At 43.6% G+C, this 18703-nt stretch overlaps 1 protein-coding gene and 1 non-coding gene across 6 annotated transcripts in view, besides 1 other annotated feature; both read right to left on the reverse strand.

Annotated features, from left to right (window-relative positions):
* TENM4 (teneurin transmembrane protein 4) overlaps window positions 1-18703 on the reverse strand; it is a 788202-nt gene that overhangs the window by 754171 nt on the left and 15328 nt on the right. The gene's annotated exons all lie outside the window — the stretch shown is intronic.
* Window positions 11545-12744: an enhancer, noted in NCBI's record as "CDK7 strongly-dependent group 2 enhancer chr11:79129588-79130787 (GRCh37/hg19 assembly coordinates)". NCBI's record gives its function as "activates an origin of replication core promoter dependent on BRD2, BRD4, P300/CBP, MED14 and CDK7 cofactors, with strong dependence on CDK7, by STARR-seq in HCT116 cells {active_cell/tissue: HCT116}" and the evidence as "EXISTENCE:reporter gene assay evidence [ECO:0000049][PMID:35650434]".
* Window positions 15170-15227, reverse strand: MIR5579 (microRNA 5579). Its single transcript, NR_049841.1, has one exon. It is a non-coding gene; the product is annotated as a microRNA 5579 (primary transcript).

Raw genomic sequence — 18703 nt, forward strand, 5'->3', positions numbered from 1 at the left:
CAGAGAACAAGAGACAGTTTCCTGCCCCTGACCCCCAACCTGTCAGTGTATGGGGCCAATATTTGGACTAGAAGTGGCCTGTGTGGACTGATCATTCACTCAATTCATTGCTCCACGAATATGTATGAGTACCTAACTATGTGTCAGATTTCCATAAATAATTTTTATGGGAATATTGATGGTCTCTTCCAGACAGTTACTCTGATCATTCTACTTACTGCTAAGAGTCAAACATAAGAATGGCAGGATTTAAAAGTTAGGTCAGTTATAGAAAACTGTTTTATAAAACTGATGCTGGACGTCTTAATGAGGGATATAATTTAAAAGCATTAAACAGTTTAGAAACTGTTACTAATAATAGCTAACAAGCAAACCAATCATGTAATTAGTAATAATCAGCTAACATTTGTTAGATATTTATGATATGCTTGATATCGTGCTAAGCACTTTCGCAGATCCTGACTCAATACTCACAAGAATCCTGCTCATCTGCAATACACAGACTTGGAACCAAGGCTTACAGAGGTTAAGTAACTTTCCCAAGATCCTGCTGCTAATAAGTAGCGAGACCTAGATATAAATCAGGATAGGTGACAGAAAGTTAAAACCTCCCAAAATGTAAAAGACATGCTTTCTAGAAGAAAAATATACATTTGTTGAAATTTGTATCACTTTAATTACATTCACAAAGAAGAGGGGAAAATTTTAACCTCCTTCAAAGTTCATCTACTAGTTGAACTCTTTATCAGTAGTTAACAAATGGGTGAAGATAGTGTTTCCCAAACTTTTCTGTGCTAAGAATCACCTGGAGGGCTGGTTAACAGGAATTGCTGGGCCTCATCCCCAGGGTTTCTCATTCAGTAGTTCTAGGGTGGAACCTGAAGATTTGCATTTTTTCTTTTTCTTTTTCTTTTTTTTTTTTTTAAGAGAGTCTTGCTCTGTCTCACAGGCTGGGGTGCAGGAGCATGATCTTGGCTCACTGCAACTTCTGTCTCCCAGGTTCAAGTGATTCTTCTGCCTCAGCCTCCCAAGTAGCTGGGATTACAGGCACCGGTCACCACGCCCAGCTAATTTTTGTATTTTTAGTACAGACATGGTTTCATCATTTTGGCCAGGCTGGTATCGAACTCCTGACCTCAAGTGATCTGCCCACCTTGGCCTTCCAAAGTGCCAGGATTACAGGTGTAAGCCACCATGCTGGGCCAACCACTGCGCCCAGCCATCTTTCCTTTTCTTTTCCTTTTGGTTAAAATCCTAGAGAAAAACTTAGGAAAAACTCTACTGGATGCTGGCCAAGATTTGCATTTCTAACAAGCTCCCAGGTGAAGCTGATGCTGCTGGTCCGGAGACCACACTTAGAGAAACGCCAGGTTATGAGTTCGTGGGCTTTAGAATTAGACAGACTTGGGTCGGAACCTTGATTTTTCCATTTGCTTTATGTGCAAGTCACAGAGGCAGAGCTACTTATCTAAAAAAGAGAATATCACTATTGAATAAAATCGTTTTGAGGATTACATTAAACAAGAATATGTAACCTCTGTAATAATCTCCCAAATACCTGGCATATACAGGTATTCAACACACTGGCTTTGTTAATATTATTGACAAACAATCCACTAGGAAAAATGTCTAATAACTTTTCCACTACATGCTTTATTGGAGATGGAAAGGAAGAAAATTGCATTTTGGGGGATTGTGATATTTCCTCCCAATAAGTTTGTCTTTTTTATGCATAAAGATGTTAGAAAATGGTGGCTGATGAAAAAGGAAGGCATATGCAGTGGAAACCCATCAAAGCCAAATGCCAGGAGTTGAGAAGGGCAGCTCTTTTCCCAGCACCCATCAGGTGGTACAGAAGGACTTGTAGGCAAAATTAGAGGTGCTTGATGGGATCTGGGCTCAGTGGAAGCTCATAGCAGAATTAATAATTATCACATAACAATATAATTGCATGGCCTTTTTAAGGCACTTTACTGTTGAATGGAATAAATAAGAAGTATTAAGTTCTCCTTTTGGTCTTCCTTTGCCTGAATTATAAAGTGTTGTCTATGAGGGATATTTTGTGTGTGTGTGTGTGTGTGTGTGTGTGTGTGTGTGTGTGTGCGCGCGCGCGCGTGCGTGCACGCGCACGCACATGCGTGAGAGTTAGTGGTTTTAGAATAAGCTGTAGAGATAAATTTTGTTGTGAGCTTCTCTTCCAGAAAAAAAAAAAAAGATTATACTAAGGAATAGAAATTGGCATTGGAGCTAAAAATAGCTGTGTGGTAGAGTGGTGGGAACACTTGGGCACATTTTAGAGCTGTTTAGGAGTGTTTAAAGCATTTAAAGGTAGATTCTGGGGCATAGAGCAGGACTGAAATCATCTGATGAGGCATACATTTCTAAGGCTATTCACAGGTTCATAAGAGTGAGGCATATTTGTGTGACCCAGTGGAGAAGGGTTAAAATGGAATGAGGGGCGGCAGGAATCCAGCGTGGCTAGGGAATTTCACCAGCTGCGCCTTTGCTGATGCACTTTAACTCTTGGAGCTGCAGGTTCCCATGAAGGAGGGTGGAAGAATAGCCCCCCCGGAACCATTCTGGCTGCTCCATAGCTGCCCCCTCTAGTCCAGGTCTCAGCTCAAATGCAGTCTGCCTGACCACGCACACCAGCTGTAGCAGACACTACGGATGCCCTCAACCCACCTGCAGCCTCCATAGACTGCTTCCACTCCATAAATGCTTCCTAACTCAAGTCAGACACATATTTCTCTGCTTTGGGACTCTCTGGAGGTGGAGGCTCCACAACCAATGAGGAACATCTGTAGGTGGATACATACCCCAGCTTTCTTGGCCCCTGATGGAACAATAGTCCAGCAAATGTGTCAGTGTCCCTCTGAGGGTCCCAGCAGGAATGAGCTCTAGTTGCCCACAGTGGTAACCTAATCATTAAATTACCCTCTGTTTACAGGGGTATCCAATCTTTTGGCTTCCTTGAGCCACACTGGAAGAAGAACTGTCTTGGGCCACACATAAAATACACTAAAATGATAGCTGATGATCTAGAAAAAAAATAGCAAAAAAACCCATAGTTTTTAAAAAGTTTACGAATTTGTGTTGGGCCGCATTCAAAACCATTCTGGGCTTCATGGAGCCTGCAGGCTGCGGGTTGGACAAGCTTGCTCTATTAGCTTCCCTTCCTTTCCCATTTCACTTCCTTACTTTCTCAGCAGGCTTCCTGGAATCACCTTGCAAATTGTTACCTACACTCAAATCCTTTTCTCAGGGCTTTAGGAAGAACCCAAACTAAGACAATATCTAAGGTCCCCAGCACCTCTCCAGTGCTCCATCATACCACACTGTTTAATTTCCTCTCTGATCACTTTCTGAACTTACTTGTTTCCTCTTCTCAGTTCTCCACAAGGGCAGAGAGACTGGTTCTACTGCATCCCCATCACCTAGAACTGTGCCTGACTGGGGCTCAATACATATTAACTGACTAAATGACCACTTTGAAATGGCTTCCTCCTACAATTGTTTCTATAAACAGGAATTACACTATTATCACTTGATATCAACTCCATCTTTTTCCCAGAATATAGTCCTGTCCTAACACATATGTATGAACAGGCAGAGAAGTGTATATGAAAAGAGTTTTGGAATTCAAAGAGCTGTGACTTTGGGCAATTTATTTGCCTTCTCTGACCTTTCCTGAGGCCATCTCAAAATTAGGAATAGTATTGCCTGCCTGATGGGTTTACAGTGAAGGCTAGGAGCTTAGGAGATGTGAAGTGCCTGGTACGTGGTAGGCATTTAATAAGTGTGAGTTTCTTGCTTGCCCGTTTCTTTCACTTACCTTCTCTCTAAACCTCCATAGTAAGTCCTGTACTCTACAGGGAGGGTTCTTTGAGAACCTTTCTCCATGTCGGGCCTACCTCTGTCCTTGTTAATCATCCCTGTGCCCCTCTACACACACATACACACACACACACATACAAACACACACTCAAGTGGATATGGTCACTCATTACAGGGCCAGCACCCATATTCTCTACTAGCTTGTACTTTCTGCTTCCATGTGGTAGATCCTGGCCCTTCTATCCAGGCTACTTGGCCATTTCACAGATAGGAAAAGTGAGGCTCAGAGAGGGTAAGTTTAAAGCTTCTGGGCTAGTAGGACACACAGACTGCCTGACTCCTGAACCCTTGATCTTCCCCAGGCCATGGTATTTTCATTAGGCTCCCTAGAAATCTAGAGGCCACAGTGGCTGTGACTGAGTATTGTCCTAAAAGCCTGCTGAGATGTGTAGCAATATAAACCCTTGTGCTAAATGGCTCTCCCCTTGCTTTTGTTTGATGATAACTAATACAATGCCCTAGGCACTATCCCACACAAACTCTTCCAGGGGGTATTATTAGCCCATTTTACAGTTGAGAAAACTGAGACTCAGAACATGATAGAAGCGATTTGCTCTCCAGCGTGAAGCAAGTAAGCAGTAGAAGCAAGAATCAGGACTAGGTCTGTAAAGCCTATGCTGCACTTAGGCTACACCACCCTCCTGGCCTTGCGCTGCAGCCTTCCTCTCTTCCCCCTTGTCATTTATTGCATCTTCTTGGTGCTCTTCTGCTACAGCCCTTCTCCCTCCAGTCTTTCTTTCCACCAAAAGCTGGAAAGAGGGACATCCAACAGATTGCAAGCTCCTTGAGGTTTTGGGGTTTTTGGTTTTTGGTTTCCTCTATCTCATCTCCAGGCACAGTTGTAAGCTCAGGAAGAATTTGTTCAATGGAAGTGATCAAAGCCTTAACAGAGTGGATGGGATGTTTCACTTCTCTTCCAACTCTAGAAGGCTACTCCTCTGATAGTCCTATTTCAGCTCTGTCAATGTGTGAAGACAAGTATTGGGCAGCAATTCAAACCACTGAACAACATTATTAAACATCAACAAATGCTCATCTTCAAGAGGAAATTCTATGGTAGTGGGAGCCGATATTCCTGACTCCAGCTTCACAAAGGAGTCTAGCAGAGCACTGATGCTTGGCTCAGCCACAACCACAGAGCTGCACTGGCTCAGCCTTCCTGTTAGAAGTCAGGCCCTGGTGGCCAGGCCTGGCATGGACTGGGTGCCACCACCAGGACAGCTCAGGAGCCCTCCCGAACACCCCAAGAGGACACAGCCTTCCCAGCTCTGCTAGCAAGTTAGCCGGTTGGTAAAGCCCAAGAGCATTCTCAAGAAGCATCCGCATCACTGAAAGCCTGCCACGTAAGGATAACCAACAGGCTGTGAGATGTCAGGCCCCAGGAATGGCAAAGATGGCCAGCTCCCTCATGATGGCCCAGCTGGGTGACAGACCCTCTGTTGTCTGTAAGCCCAGGACAGCCTTAGCGACAGCCCTCGTAAGACAGTTGGGGTCCACCAGTTACCAAGTGATTTCCCTGACTTTGGAACACCCAACCCCATTCCACACAGAGTGAGGTGGCTAACAGTAGACTCTAGAGCTGAATTATCTGGAATCAAGTCCCAGCTCCAACTTACTACCCATGTGACCTTGGATAAGTCACCTAACCTGTCTATGCTTTGGTTTCCTCACATACGAGGTAGGAAAAGTAACAGTCCTTACTTCCTAGGTTTGTAAGAAAATTAAATTCATTATTTATAAAGTGATTAAAACAGCACTATGGCATAAAAATACTTTATAAATATGTATCAAATAAATACTCATCCCATCTCCCAGTAACTTCCAACTACTAACCTCTTGGAAAACACTCCTGATTATCATGTTTTCGTGCATGCATCCATTCATTCATTTATTTTTTCTTCTCCTATCTGCTCCCATAACATTCTGTCTTACAACTCTGGATCACTGCAGCCTATTCCATGAGCATCTTCTTTGCACCACAGCCAGGCACTGTGTCAGTATTAAGAATGGAACTAGACAACACTCAGTCCAGAAAGGAAGGCAGACACAGATATGAGTCACTACATAACAAAGGCAAGGGCAGGTGCTAGAGGCACCCATGGTGGGTACCTTTGTGAAGCATTAGTTACAGCATGTCCTAATGATGTGGTAATAACTAAAGGCCATCAAATCAGGCTACTGCAAATAAAAACCTATTTATTTATGTCCACAAGGGCAGGTTCATTTTCAAAGGGCTGTAACCAAAAAATAGAATGAGAATCAGAAAATGAAGTCAGAGTAAAAACACACATTCTGGGCACCTTGTGTTCCAAATCTGCCCTCATTTCATCACATAGGATTCCCAAATCTCCCAGCAATTGTCCCCAGTTCCCAAGGTGTCTACAGGCTCACACTCCAGGCTGCGCACCACTCCTTTGGGAAAACTCCCTGCTTCCTAAGAAGCTGGCTGTGGACTGCAGGTTTCAGCTCCTTGGACTCCATAGCCTTTTCCAGCAAGAAGCTAGGCAGCTCTGCCTTTCCCTTTCCCCGCCTCCCTGGCACGCTCCATCCTGACACAGAGAGTCCAGCTCCTCCTACTGATTGGTCAGCAGACATGAGAGAGAAGACACAAGGTTCCCATGAGACCTTCACGGCCAGCCCCTAACAGCTGCCTCAGCTGGAGAGGGTTGTTTCACTCTAATTTGCAGATGATTCTAGCTCATGAAAACTGCTTATTAGGAATGTTGGTTCAACATACCAACCAAATGTAATGCATAAATCTTGTTTGTATCCTAGTTTAGGAGAAAAAAAAAGCCATAAAAACATTTTTGAACAATTGGGGCAATCTGAATATGGATTAGAAGTTAGATGATAACTGTAAATTATTATTACTTTTCTTAGGAATAAACATCATATTGTGGTTATGTAGAAGAATGTCCTTGCTTTTAGAAGTGGCATGCTAAAGTATGTAAAAAAGAATCATGTCTGCAAAAAAAAGGAGAAAAATATATATCTACACATATGCATGCACACACTGATAAGTCATAGACGGCAAATATTTTAAGAAAAAGAAAGATCAATTCCTTGTGGCTCTGCATGGAGCTTATTCATGTACCCTATATTAAGAACAGAAAAAAAAAGAGTAACAGAAACACAAGATACGTATAATTTATCTCTATACCTCAAAATTCAACTTGACTTTGCTCTCAAAGGGAGACAGATCCCTTGGTCCTGCCCTGCAACTCCACTCACACACACATGAACACATATACACACATGTGTACACACACACACACACACACACACACGCACACAAACATGCACATGCACGCACTGGAAAAGCACTTCCTTCAAAGTCAAAGCCCTAAGAGACATCCCAGAATAGCTGGCCTGGAATAGTAAAAAGAGCTTTCGACTCTGCACTGGAAGACCTGGATTCAACCTCTGCTGCACAGTAGCTGGTGATCTTGAGAAGCCACTGAACTAACCTGAGTCTCACTTTCCACACTGTGACAAGGGACTGTAATCATCCTGCCTCCCAATCCCAGAGTATTGGTCCAAGGACCAGAAGAAAGAGTGGCTATAGAGATGCCATCTGAATATGCCTTATTACTGCCTATGCTGACAAGTAAAACATGCCAACTCAAACTCGAGAAGGGTATCAACCTGCTGCCGAAAGCTTCTTCTGTGCCAGTCTTCTGGAATTGGGCCTCTAAGAGTGGACTGTTCCAAGTTGCTGGCCACTGGAAACAGATGTAACTCTTTGAGCCCTATATGTTATGGCAGAAGCAAAAAAAACACAACTTGCTTTTTCATTTTTTTAAAACAGTAATTCCCAAAGCTGTCTTATATAAATGGATCTGAAACACAGATCACAGAGAGAGGGGCTGAGCAGAGACATGGAACCCAACCAAGCAGCCCTGCCTGAATCATGGGCAAAAAATGTCAAAACCTTGGCCGGGTGCCTCCTGAGCTCCTTGAACCTAAAACTCGGGCAGAAAACCTCATTCATTCAGAATCCATTAATTCTGATCATTTAGACACGGCCTCAGCTGACCTTGCCACCGTTCTATCTGTGGAAAGCGGCCTGGCTTAGGGGAGAGGCCTCGTGGTGCAGGGGCAAGCATGCTGACTGGGGCCAGGAGGCCGGTTCCCTCTTCACCCCACCACTTTGCAGCCCTGGACAAGGCACCTTTCTTCCTCAGCCTCTGTTTCCATGTCTGTAAGATGACAGGGTTGCATTAAGACTGTCTCTCTCTTGTCCGATTCTAAGATTCTATGATTAGTCACTTCCTTTGGGAAGTCCTTCCAATCCTCAAAGAATGTCTGCTGAACAGAACTGGGATCTGTGAAATTAAAGCATGTTTAATCAACCAAAAAGAACAAACTGTTTCAGAGCACTTTGGAAGCACTCATGTCTATGCCCCCAAGGAAGTAAAGTGCATTTTGGTTTTCACCCAGGTTGACTCACGTGAATTTTCATTCGTTTACAGGTGGTTTAGGGTATTTAAGTATTCCGCATACCTGAAAATAATAAATAATGCTATCATTATAGACAAGCATTTGGGTCATCCACTATAGGTCAGACTCGGTGCTCAGGGCTTTATGTATATTAACTCCTTCAAAGGCCCCAGGAATGATGTGATGTAGGTTTACCATCTCCACTTTCATATGGAAAAGCTGCAGCTCAGAGAGCTTAAGTAGCTTGCCCAAGGTGACAGTGAGTGCTGGGGCTGGGAGTCAAACTCCACTCACTGTGGTGGCATCTGAAGAGAACTCATCATCTTGTAAACAAACTCCAGCATGAGGATGTGATTTGTCTTTCCTTGTACTGAACATTAACTTAAACATACTTTATTGAGCTATATTTGATATACAATAAACTGTACATGTTTAAATTGCACAACCTGATGAGTTTTGATATCAGTATACAACTGTGAAAACACCACTACAATCAAAATAGTAACCATATTCACATCATCCCCCAAATTTCCCCATCCCCCTTGATAATCCCTCCCACCCCTTCACCCTCTCCAGGCAACCCCTGACCTGCTTCCTATCACAATAGATTACTCTGCAATTTGTGAAATTTAACATAAAAGGAATCATACAGTATACATGCTTTTGAGTCTGGCTTTTTCCACTCAGTATAATTATTTTGAGATTGATCCATGTTGTTGGGCTAATCAAGAATTTATTCCTTTTTCACTGCTGATTAACATTCCATTTTATGGATATACCACAATGTGTTTATCCATTCACCTGTTGATGGACATTTGGGTGACTTACAATTTTTGGCTATTACAAATAGAGGTGCCTCAAACATTCTTGTACAGGTCTTTGTATCTCAATACGCTTTCACTTCCCTGGGGTAAATACCTAGGAGTGGAATGGCTGGGTCACAAGGTAGGTATGTATTTATGGTTTTAAGAAGCTGCCAAGCTGTTCTCTGAAGTAGTAGTCTCCTTTTACATTTCTGTTGCTCCATATCCTCACCAACACGTGTATGGTCAGTCTTTTTAATTTTAGACATTCGAGTGGGTTTGAAGTGGTATCTTGTGGCGGTTTTAATTTTCATTTCTCTAATGACTAATGATACTGAGCATTCTTTCATGTGCCTCTTTTTTGACAAAAGAAACTCTTCAGCTATAACATAAAAATTTGGTAAAATTAACATTACTGGTTTCTGTTTATTAAGGTACAACCCTACTATGTGACAGATATGATGCTAAGAGGTTTACATGCACTGTATCATCTCACCCTCATAACAACCTAACGAGATGGTATTAAGATCCGGGTTTCCAGATGGGGAAACTGAGGCTTAACAAGGTCAGGTAATTTGCCTCAAGTCACAAATTAATTGGTGGCAGGCTCAGGGTTTCTCTCCAGGTCTCTGCTCCAAATCCTGTAGGGTATGCCTGCTACTAACACTGCTTTTGCGCAAAGCTTGCGTCTTCTATCTCAGGTACAGTTAGGATTTTGGTACATAACCAGACAATGGCAAAAAAAAAAGAAAAAAAAAGACAGACACTACAGGCAACTGTAACATCAACGCTTTCTTGCCACTCACACAGTCATTCCTTGTTTGCTAGAAACCTAGGACAGTTTAGCCAAGATATACTGTGGCTGAGGTCCTGATCAATATCTCAATACTGTATAACATTAAGGGCAAAACAGATATCTGGAAAGTAGTTAACTGAGAGTCTCAAATCTAAGGGCTGGCATAAGAATGTCAATGTTTAGCACATTTATGTTGTGCTGAAGAAATGGCTTAAAAGAACTTTACTTTTGCTCTTTAAAGGCAGGTGTGTTTCATGCGTTGACTCTTACGTAAGCACTGAAAACATGTCTAGAGTTTCCTTTAGCCCAGAGACTAAGTCCTGGCACCAAGGGCAAGGCAGTGTAGTGCAAGGGAAACCTCAGCAGCTTTGAGCAGGTCAGCCAGCCTCTTTGGACTTCAGCGTCTTCCTCTGGGCTGTTTGTTGATGGCTCAAAGGGGACTGGTCCCTCTTATCCTTTTTTGTGCCCAGATGCCGTTGTTTGGACTTAAAGATTTACAGGAAATACCAACCACAAGAGTGGTTGGTAAACATGACCACAGTGGTAGTAAACATTACCACATAGCAAAGAGAGCTGTACCTGAGTAGAAGAAGTTTCAACTTCGCATTCTGCTTCTAAAAGCTTGGCTTTGAACCATGGTGTTTATGCCCCATGTCCAAAGAATTACATTGTCCTTTGAAGAACACTATGTATGTCTCCTATAGTCCTGGATAATGCTCATGACATCCCTGCTCATACTTGCAATATGACATCATCTATGTAAAGTGTCCTTGCTTCATCAGAATAGAATCCAAGCTCCTTGTGGCCTTCTTTCTTCCTGAGGTCGCCTCATCCCACTCCATATCCCCCAGGTATGTGCTTTTCTGGAACCTCCACACCTTTTCTCATGCTCTCTCCTCTGGAAGAATCACTCCACATTTCCCTACTCAGAGATTGCCAAAACCCTCAGAGCCCAGTAATAAGAAGTTCTCTCCTCTTGAAAGCCTTTCTTACTGACCTCCAGGCAGATCTTGTCACTCTTTAATGGCACTCTTCCTGGCTGGGGTGCAGGCTTCAAGGAAGGCCCTTTTCCTACAGTATACTTTAAACGGTGTATGTATCAGTAGTGGGATTGTCTGTCTCCTCGCACTAGACTAGTACTGCCTAATAGAAAGCAAACATAAATATGACAAACAAGGATGCATAATAAGTAACATAAATTATATATTATATATGATACAAATACAATTTAAAATTCTATTCTAGCCGCATTTCAAGGGTCCAACAGTTGCATCTGACCAATGGCTACCCTATTGGAGGACAGAGATGCAGGACATTTCCATCATTACAGAAACCTCTACTGAAAAGCACCTACCTAGAATCTCTCTGTGGGGATTTCTTATCAACTTGCTTCTTTAGGGTATAATGGATTTCCCTAAACAAGCAAAAACACTGAAACTACAGTATGCAGGACATGAAAACAACAAGAATACTGATACTAATGGTTGCAAGATGCCACTTGTATCTGTTGAGTCATAGCCAATCATGTGGCTTACAAGCTGGCTCTAAACGCCAATTCTGGCTCTTATGAATCCCACCAATCTATTCTCCCTCATATGGCTCCACCACCCAACACAACATCCTCTGCTCTAGCCCTACTGAAACATGATTTCTCATTTTCCTGTGGATGTGCATATGCTATTCCCTGCAACTGGAATGTCCTCTCTGGTCACCCTGGTGAACTCTGATGACCCTTCAGTACAGTTAGTTCATGCTTCACCTCTTCTGTGAGACCCTGCCTGACTGCCCCCATGCAGAGGTGGCTCTTGTATGTCCCCTGTACATTTACACCCCACTCCAATTACTCCATTACGTGGCTGTGTCTTCCAACAGGTTGTCATCTCTTTGAAGGCAGGGATTGGCTTTCCTCTGACTTTGCCCAGCACTTTTACAGTGCCTGGAAATTGGACACTCTTAACAGACATTAGTTGAATGACTGAACTCCCACATTCCCAAAGAGGCATACAGCCTTGTGTTTAGCAATGGTGGCATCACTTGAATAAATGTATGGCCTCTCCAGGTGCCACCTCTGAAGGAAGTCAAACTCATTGGATTGTTTATATTCCAGGTCACATCTAGACTAGGCTTAGCTCATACTTGTTTGAAGCATAGGATTGACAGAAGCCCACGAGGGCAGCTGAGCCATTTCCCTGCCTCCAGGACAAACTCGCATCTAAAGTGGTGAAGGAGATGAAAAGCCTACCTGGCTTTTCAAAAACACATGGAAGGATCAAAAACCACTCCCAGCAAGTCATGGCAATGTTGAATCAAGAACTGAGGGCACCTCCCTCTACCCGCTGAGTCAGTGGCCTTTGTCTGCTTTGTGACTCACCTCACTGCTTATAAACCACCAGAGCACTTGGGAACAGGGCAGTCGAGCTGTTCACACCCACAGGTAAGAGGTCAGCTCCCTTCCTCCATGTTCCCAATGGCACCCTTAGCACCCACGGCACGGGGATGGATGTGTTCCCTCCTGACTCATCAGAAGGTAACTGGGTGGCTACCTTGCTCTGTCTAGTAAGTCAGGGATGGATAGTGGATGAGATGGTTAAATTAGATTGGCAAAAAGGAAACTCACATTCTGGACTTGACAGTGTGATATGTACTTTGTATGGGCTCAAATCCCACTATGAGGCCAGTTACCAGCCATGGGTCACGTTGCTTGACATTTCCTAGTTTCATTTCCTCAGCTTTAATGAAGATAACACCCATAACCTGGTTGGTTGTAAGGAGGTAAAGAGATTAGGTCTGCTACACAGTAGGGGTGCAAAGCATGTCAGACATCATCCACATCTCCACTCCTTGGCCTGACGTCCCATGAACTGGCTTCGTGGGTTGGCACAAACTCCTTCCCTTCTCTGGGCCTTCAGTTTCCCCAGCTACCTAGGTGAGCCAAATTATTCCTTAGTTCCTTCAAGATACAAGGTGGGTGCGGGGAGGGAGTTTGAGTATGAGACTTCCTATGTGATATTTTATGTGTATGTGCATGTGTGTGTGAGTGAGAGAGAGAATGAATGAATGAGAAACCATTTATTTTAAAGTTCCCTTAATGGAATAAGACAGATTTAAATATTTTGAATCCAACCCACTGTGTTCTCTTTGTTCCATATATGTATTTTAAAAGCTTATCTTTGTCTTTTAGCTCCTTCAAGGATGCAAATCCTTCCCAATCTATGGTAAAGGTTTTCTCCCTCCTGATCATTTGAAATACATTTTTTTAACATGTTAAATCCTTACTCTTTGTATTTAAATACTTTGATGTTTTCCATAAAATAGGTTGGGAAGGGTTAGAACAAAAACGCATTTCATTTATCTGAACTACTAAGATGTCAGAAAGAGAGGCAGCTTGCAGCCTCCCAAGAGGGAAACACTCAGCCCCTGCAGGACTCTCCAAGCTTCCTGCTTGGACCATATCACTAAGACAGGAACCATAATCAGAACCCTACAGATTCAGAAATCCACAAAGTTAGCACTTCCCAAAGAGCTTCTGAAGAAACCCTACTCTTGTGAGAGTGCTAAAAATGGTTTTGCTTTAGAAAAAAGAAAACTCATATTAGAAGTTTGGGAACTCTTATGTGCTATTTATGCCTCTCTTGGAGATTCGCATAAGCATAGTGAAGACTCTGAGACTTTCTGCAGCATGAAAATACATTAACCTCTCTAATTTGGCATTTATCAAACTTATTTGGACACAAACCAGTTTTTTTTTGGGGGGTGGGGGATGGTTATTTGCTCCTATGGTGAAAAGGAAAAAAGAAAAAACTATTACCCCTCCACATGCTCACACATCCACACAATACGGAAAAAATATTTGAAACCTAGTCCCTGGAGCTGGGATGGGACAGAGGTAGGAGCAGTCACTCCAGAGTCAGATAAACCCAGGTTCAATGCTAATTCCACCAGCAGTGTAGCCTCAGGGATGATACTTCAACTTCCAGAAGTTTCCAAAGCTTTCCAAACCTTCCAAAGCTTTCACTTAGCTTTGCTGTAAGTGAAAACCAGGCTTCTAGAGTGCTTGTGTGTGCATTAGATGAGTCGAGGAGTGCACAAAGGTATCTGGTAGGGAGTATTTTTTAAATGTGTAAACTATTTTTTAAACGTGACTCTCCCTACTCTCCCTTTGCTTTTCTCTTTGCAAAATCACAAGTAGAGGCATTCGAAAGCACACTGGTCAATTTTTGCAATGCTTATAAAGCTTTAAATCAAATTATTTCACATAAGAGGCTATCTTGGAATATCATTCCATTACCTTGTCTATATGTTTTCATAAATAAAGTCACCCCCCCTCAAAAAAAAGGTAGGGCCACTTTCATCCATATGTATGTGAAGGAGAACCTAGTATTTCATACAGCTATCTGAAATTTAATATCAAGGAATTTACCTGTGTCAAATATTACTTTATTTAACAGAATGTGATATCGCTTGATATAGTCATAAAGTGCATTCCTATCAAAATACAGCTGTTATTAACATTACTAACAACTGCTTTACCCCAGTGATTTTTATTGAAACTATAACGATGGGCACTTTTGAAATAAGTGTTCCTAGCTAATTTGCAGAGGGCTATCTCCCAGAGAGAGTTCATATTATAATTCTAACGGGGTTTTCACACAAGGTAGAATGAGGAGTTTAAAATGCTTGAAAGAGAGTCATCTCGAGGTCACCAATAATTAAATAGGAGCTAAAGGAACGGAACAAGGAAAATGTGTAATCTTCCCTGGCTCTGAAATTAAAAAAAAAAAAAAACAGTTATCAGCAAGACAGTGCTTCTGCAGGGAGGCTGATCTCGATCTACAGTAGGATTCCTTTCAAACCAGGATGTCTATTTCAAAATGCCCATTAAAAGTCTATGATGGACTTTAATTATGAGAGGCAGCAGATAAGAGTCCAGTTCATTCCCTCCTGTTGTCGGGGTGGTTTAGAGCTGCCAATCATCACCCCCTTCAATGAGGCCCAAGGTGCAGATACCCCTTTCAAGAGGCTGGCTAGACTGTGAGGGAAGGGCTCTTAACGCACACCCCACACGTGGCGCCTGTGAAGTGCAATGAAGGGACCTCCTGCTAGGGCTGCAACAATCTTCCCATTCCCCCAGGATGCAATAACCAAGGGAACCACATCCCTGCTTCTCAGTGCTCAACCTTCTGAGGCTCATCTTCTCAACTCTGTTCACCTCCACAGTGTTTGTGGGTGATTTGATCTGGTACTCCTTAAGCTAATGGTGACAGGGGCCTGTTAGCTTAAGGAGTACCATATTAAATCACCCACATGGTTCTTACACACACACACACACACACACACACACACACACAGAGTAAAGGACAGAGCAGCAGCAGTCCAGCTCAGTAGAAGCAGCACCAGCTCTACAGTAAGAAAGACCAGAGTTTGAATCCTGATTCCTTCACTTCCTGCTGTGTGGTCTTGGGCAATTTACTTACCATCTCTTTTTGTAACATGGAGACTAGATACCTGTCATCTATAATACCTGTCACCTATGTTTAATATGGGGCCCCTAATTCATAATAGGATACCTAAGAATGTCATTCCCCAAAAAAAGCAGAGGCCCTGCAGTCAATGTTTGTCTGCCTCCATGAGTGCCTAAAAAACAACTCCCTCCACCCCAAGAGAGAAACTCGCTGGAGAGGCCAGCTGAGAAAGAAAAATGTTAAATAATTCAGAAGCACTAACATCAAGTCTGAGGTAGGTATAAAAATAGTTACAAAACACCACACTCCTCTTGTTTTCCTTACAGCAACCTTGGCTCCCTGGTAGAACAGAGGGAGGGAGGGTCTGACCCAAGGCTGGTTCTGGGCCTGGGGCAGGGACTGTGGCCCAGGAGCCTCTCTGGGCTTCTATTTTGGCTCTTCTAATCACTCCTCTTTGTACAAAGGTAAGGCAGGCATTTGCTTGTCACCTCTACATTTTAAAACAGCCTTCTGATAGGCCGACTTATTTTTAAACTGAAAGTATGCTCAGCTGGGCCATTTGAATCAGAGGGAATTCTTTGCATCCTGTCTTCTAAAGTAGACCAACTGGTGAGCCTTCCAAGGATGCCGGACCCAATCCCAAAGCTTAAGTTAAAAGGAGAAGGCTGGGAGGCTGTCCTAAACCCAATCCCCCAAGGAGTCCCATGCCATTGGCCTGTGTCATCCAGAAAGACTATGCTGTCCCTAAAAGCACAGATACTGGGAAGAGAACAGGAAGATTCCAACTGGAGAGGTAACATTGACTAAGCACCTACCATGTGCCAGGCACCCTGCCAGATCCTTTACCTATATTATCTCCTGAAGCCCTCACAATATATCCCAAATCAGTTGCAACCCCCACCCCCGCCATTGTACAGATGAAGAAACCGAGGCCCAGGGAAGTGAAGACACTTCCTACGGCAAAGTTCCACTAAAGAGTCAGGGCTAAAACTGAGTTGGTCTGACTCGTAGCCTGTGCTTTCTCCCCCATACCATCCACAAGAGCAGAGCATGTGGTTTGAAAGGGTCTTCATGAAATATTCAACTGCATTTGTAGCTCCTGTCTCGTTCAAGCCAGCTCTGAATGCTTACAAGTGCATTTTTTTTTTTTTTTTTTTTTTTGCAAGGAAACTGCATGGGTACAAATTTCCAATTCATACTTAACAAGGTGGGGAAACGGGTCATTCTTGGCCTGCTCCAGAACAAGGGGCGAGTCTATGCACTCCTGGAGCAGCAGGCGCAGGGAGGGTTAAATGTGAGGCCAGAACCAAATCTCCTGTTTCCAGGAGCTGAGGATTTAGAAGAGTCTCTTTGGTTGATTTTTACAGGAGAGAAGAAGGAGTGACCAGCAAGTGAGAGGAGGCCTGCAAGGGTAGAGGAAGGAGGATGAATAATAATAATCACAATACTTCTAGTCCTTTTGGAAAATATGTTCTCATCCTTCAAGTCGACGTCAAATGCTTCCCACTTTTTGAAGCTTCCCTGCCTCCCCCACTAACCTGGGTGTGAAGGTTCTTTCTCAGATGTGTCTGTCTACTTTGTGCCAGGCTCCCTGGTAGAAGCTTGATTAATGCTATTTCATTTCATTCTTACAGCAGGTATTGTTGTCATACATTAAAAAAGATGGAACTAATACCAAGAGTTTAGTTTGTCTGCCAAAAGTCATACAAGCTAGTCCAGTGGCTTCCAACCAGGGACGGACAATCTTGGCAATTCTTTGCTCAGTGAACTTTTGGCAATGTCTGTCAACATTTTTGGTTGTCACAATTGGCGGGGAAGGCACTGGAATCTAGTAGATAGAGGCCAGGGATGCTGCCCAACATCCGTGATTCACAGAACACCCCCTACAACAAAGAATTATCTGGTCATTTGTGGCAAAGTTGGCCAGGTGCAGTAGCTCACACCTACAATGCCAGCACTTTGGGAAGGCTGAGATAGGAGGATCACTTAAACTCATGAGTTCGAGACCAGCCTGGACAACATGGCAAAACCTAGTCTCTACAAAACAAAACAAAACAAAAATTAGCCAGGTATGATGGCTGGATGCCTGTAGTCCTAGCTCTTATACTTGGGGAACTGAGGTGGGAGAATCATTTAAGCTCAGGAGAATCAATTATGCCCAGGAGGTCAAGGCTGCAGTGAGCCCTAATCACATCACTGCACTCCAGCCTGGGCAATAGAACCAGACCCTGTCTCCAAAAAAAAAAAATACAAAAAGGCTGGCACAGAGGCTCACGCCTGTAATCCCAACACTTTGGGAGGCCGAGGCGGGCGGATCATGAGGTCAGGATATCGAGACCACCCTGGTTAACACGGTGAAATCCCATCTCTACTAAAAATACAAAAAATTAGCCAGGCGTGGTGGCGGACGCCTATTGTCCCAGTTACTCAGGAGGCTAAGGCAGGAGAATGGCATAAACCTGGGAGGCAGAGCTTGCAGTGAGCCGAGATCACACCACTGCACTCCAGCCTGGGAGACAGAATGAGACTCCATTTCACACACACAAAAAAAAGTCAGGGGTGCCGAAGTTGAGAAAGCCTGGTCTAGTTGTGGCTCAGCCCAGATTTAAACTTAGGTCAGTCTGACTCTTCAGCTGATAATGTCTTAATAGTACCTTTAACTGGATCCTAAGTGCCTTGAGATCTGAGTGGCGTACCCTCCTGCTTTTCTGTCTTGAATCACATCTACTCCAGAGCCCAGCTCACTCCGCAGGCCCTTACTGATTGGATTAATCAGTATACTTAACAACGGTGCTAAGGATCAAGGTGAGGAGTGTACCAAAGGGACCCAGCCTTTCTGTAGCTGAACTTTTCAGGAGGACATTGAGTCCAATTTCTCACCCCCTGCAGGAAGCTTCTTAATAGACTTGACAGCACTGCTTGCCCTCCTCCAATGACAGGGAGCTCACTCCCTCCACAAGCTGTCTAATCTCTTCTGGGATGTTCTGGCTGATGCTGAACTAAAGCCAGCTCTCCCCACATCCCTAGCACATCTCAGTGTCTGGAGCCTTTGGGGAAAGACTCTTGGTTAGCTACTAAGAGACTAGCCCTAAACTCCTGGCCATGTTCTCCTGAGTCCTAGAAAAGTGAAGTAGAAGAACACGGACTTGGAGCCAGACTGATCCAAATTCAAATCCTGGCAACACTACTCATATAGTCAGTGATGGAGCATAACAAGACTGTTGGCAGTGTTGCTGTGCTCAGCACACAGTAGGTGCCTCTTAGCACACAGTAGGGGCACAAATGGCCTATCTATCTGAGGTGGC

The sequence above is a fragment of the Homo sapiens genome, chromosome 11 (assembly GCF_000001405.40).
Source record: "Homo sapiens chromosome 11, GRCh38.p14 Primary Assembly".
Lineage (NCBI taxonomy): Eukaryota > Metazoa > Chordata > Mammalia > Primates > Hominidae > Homo > Homo sapiens.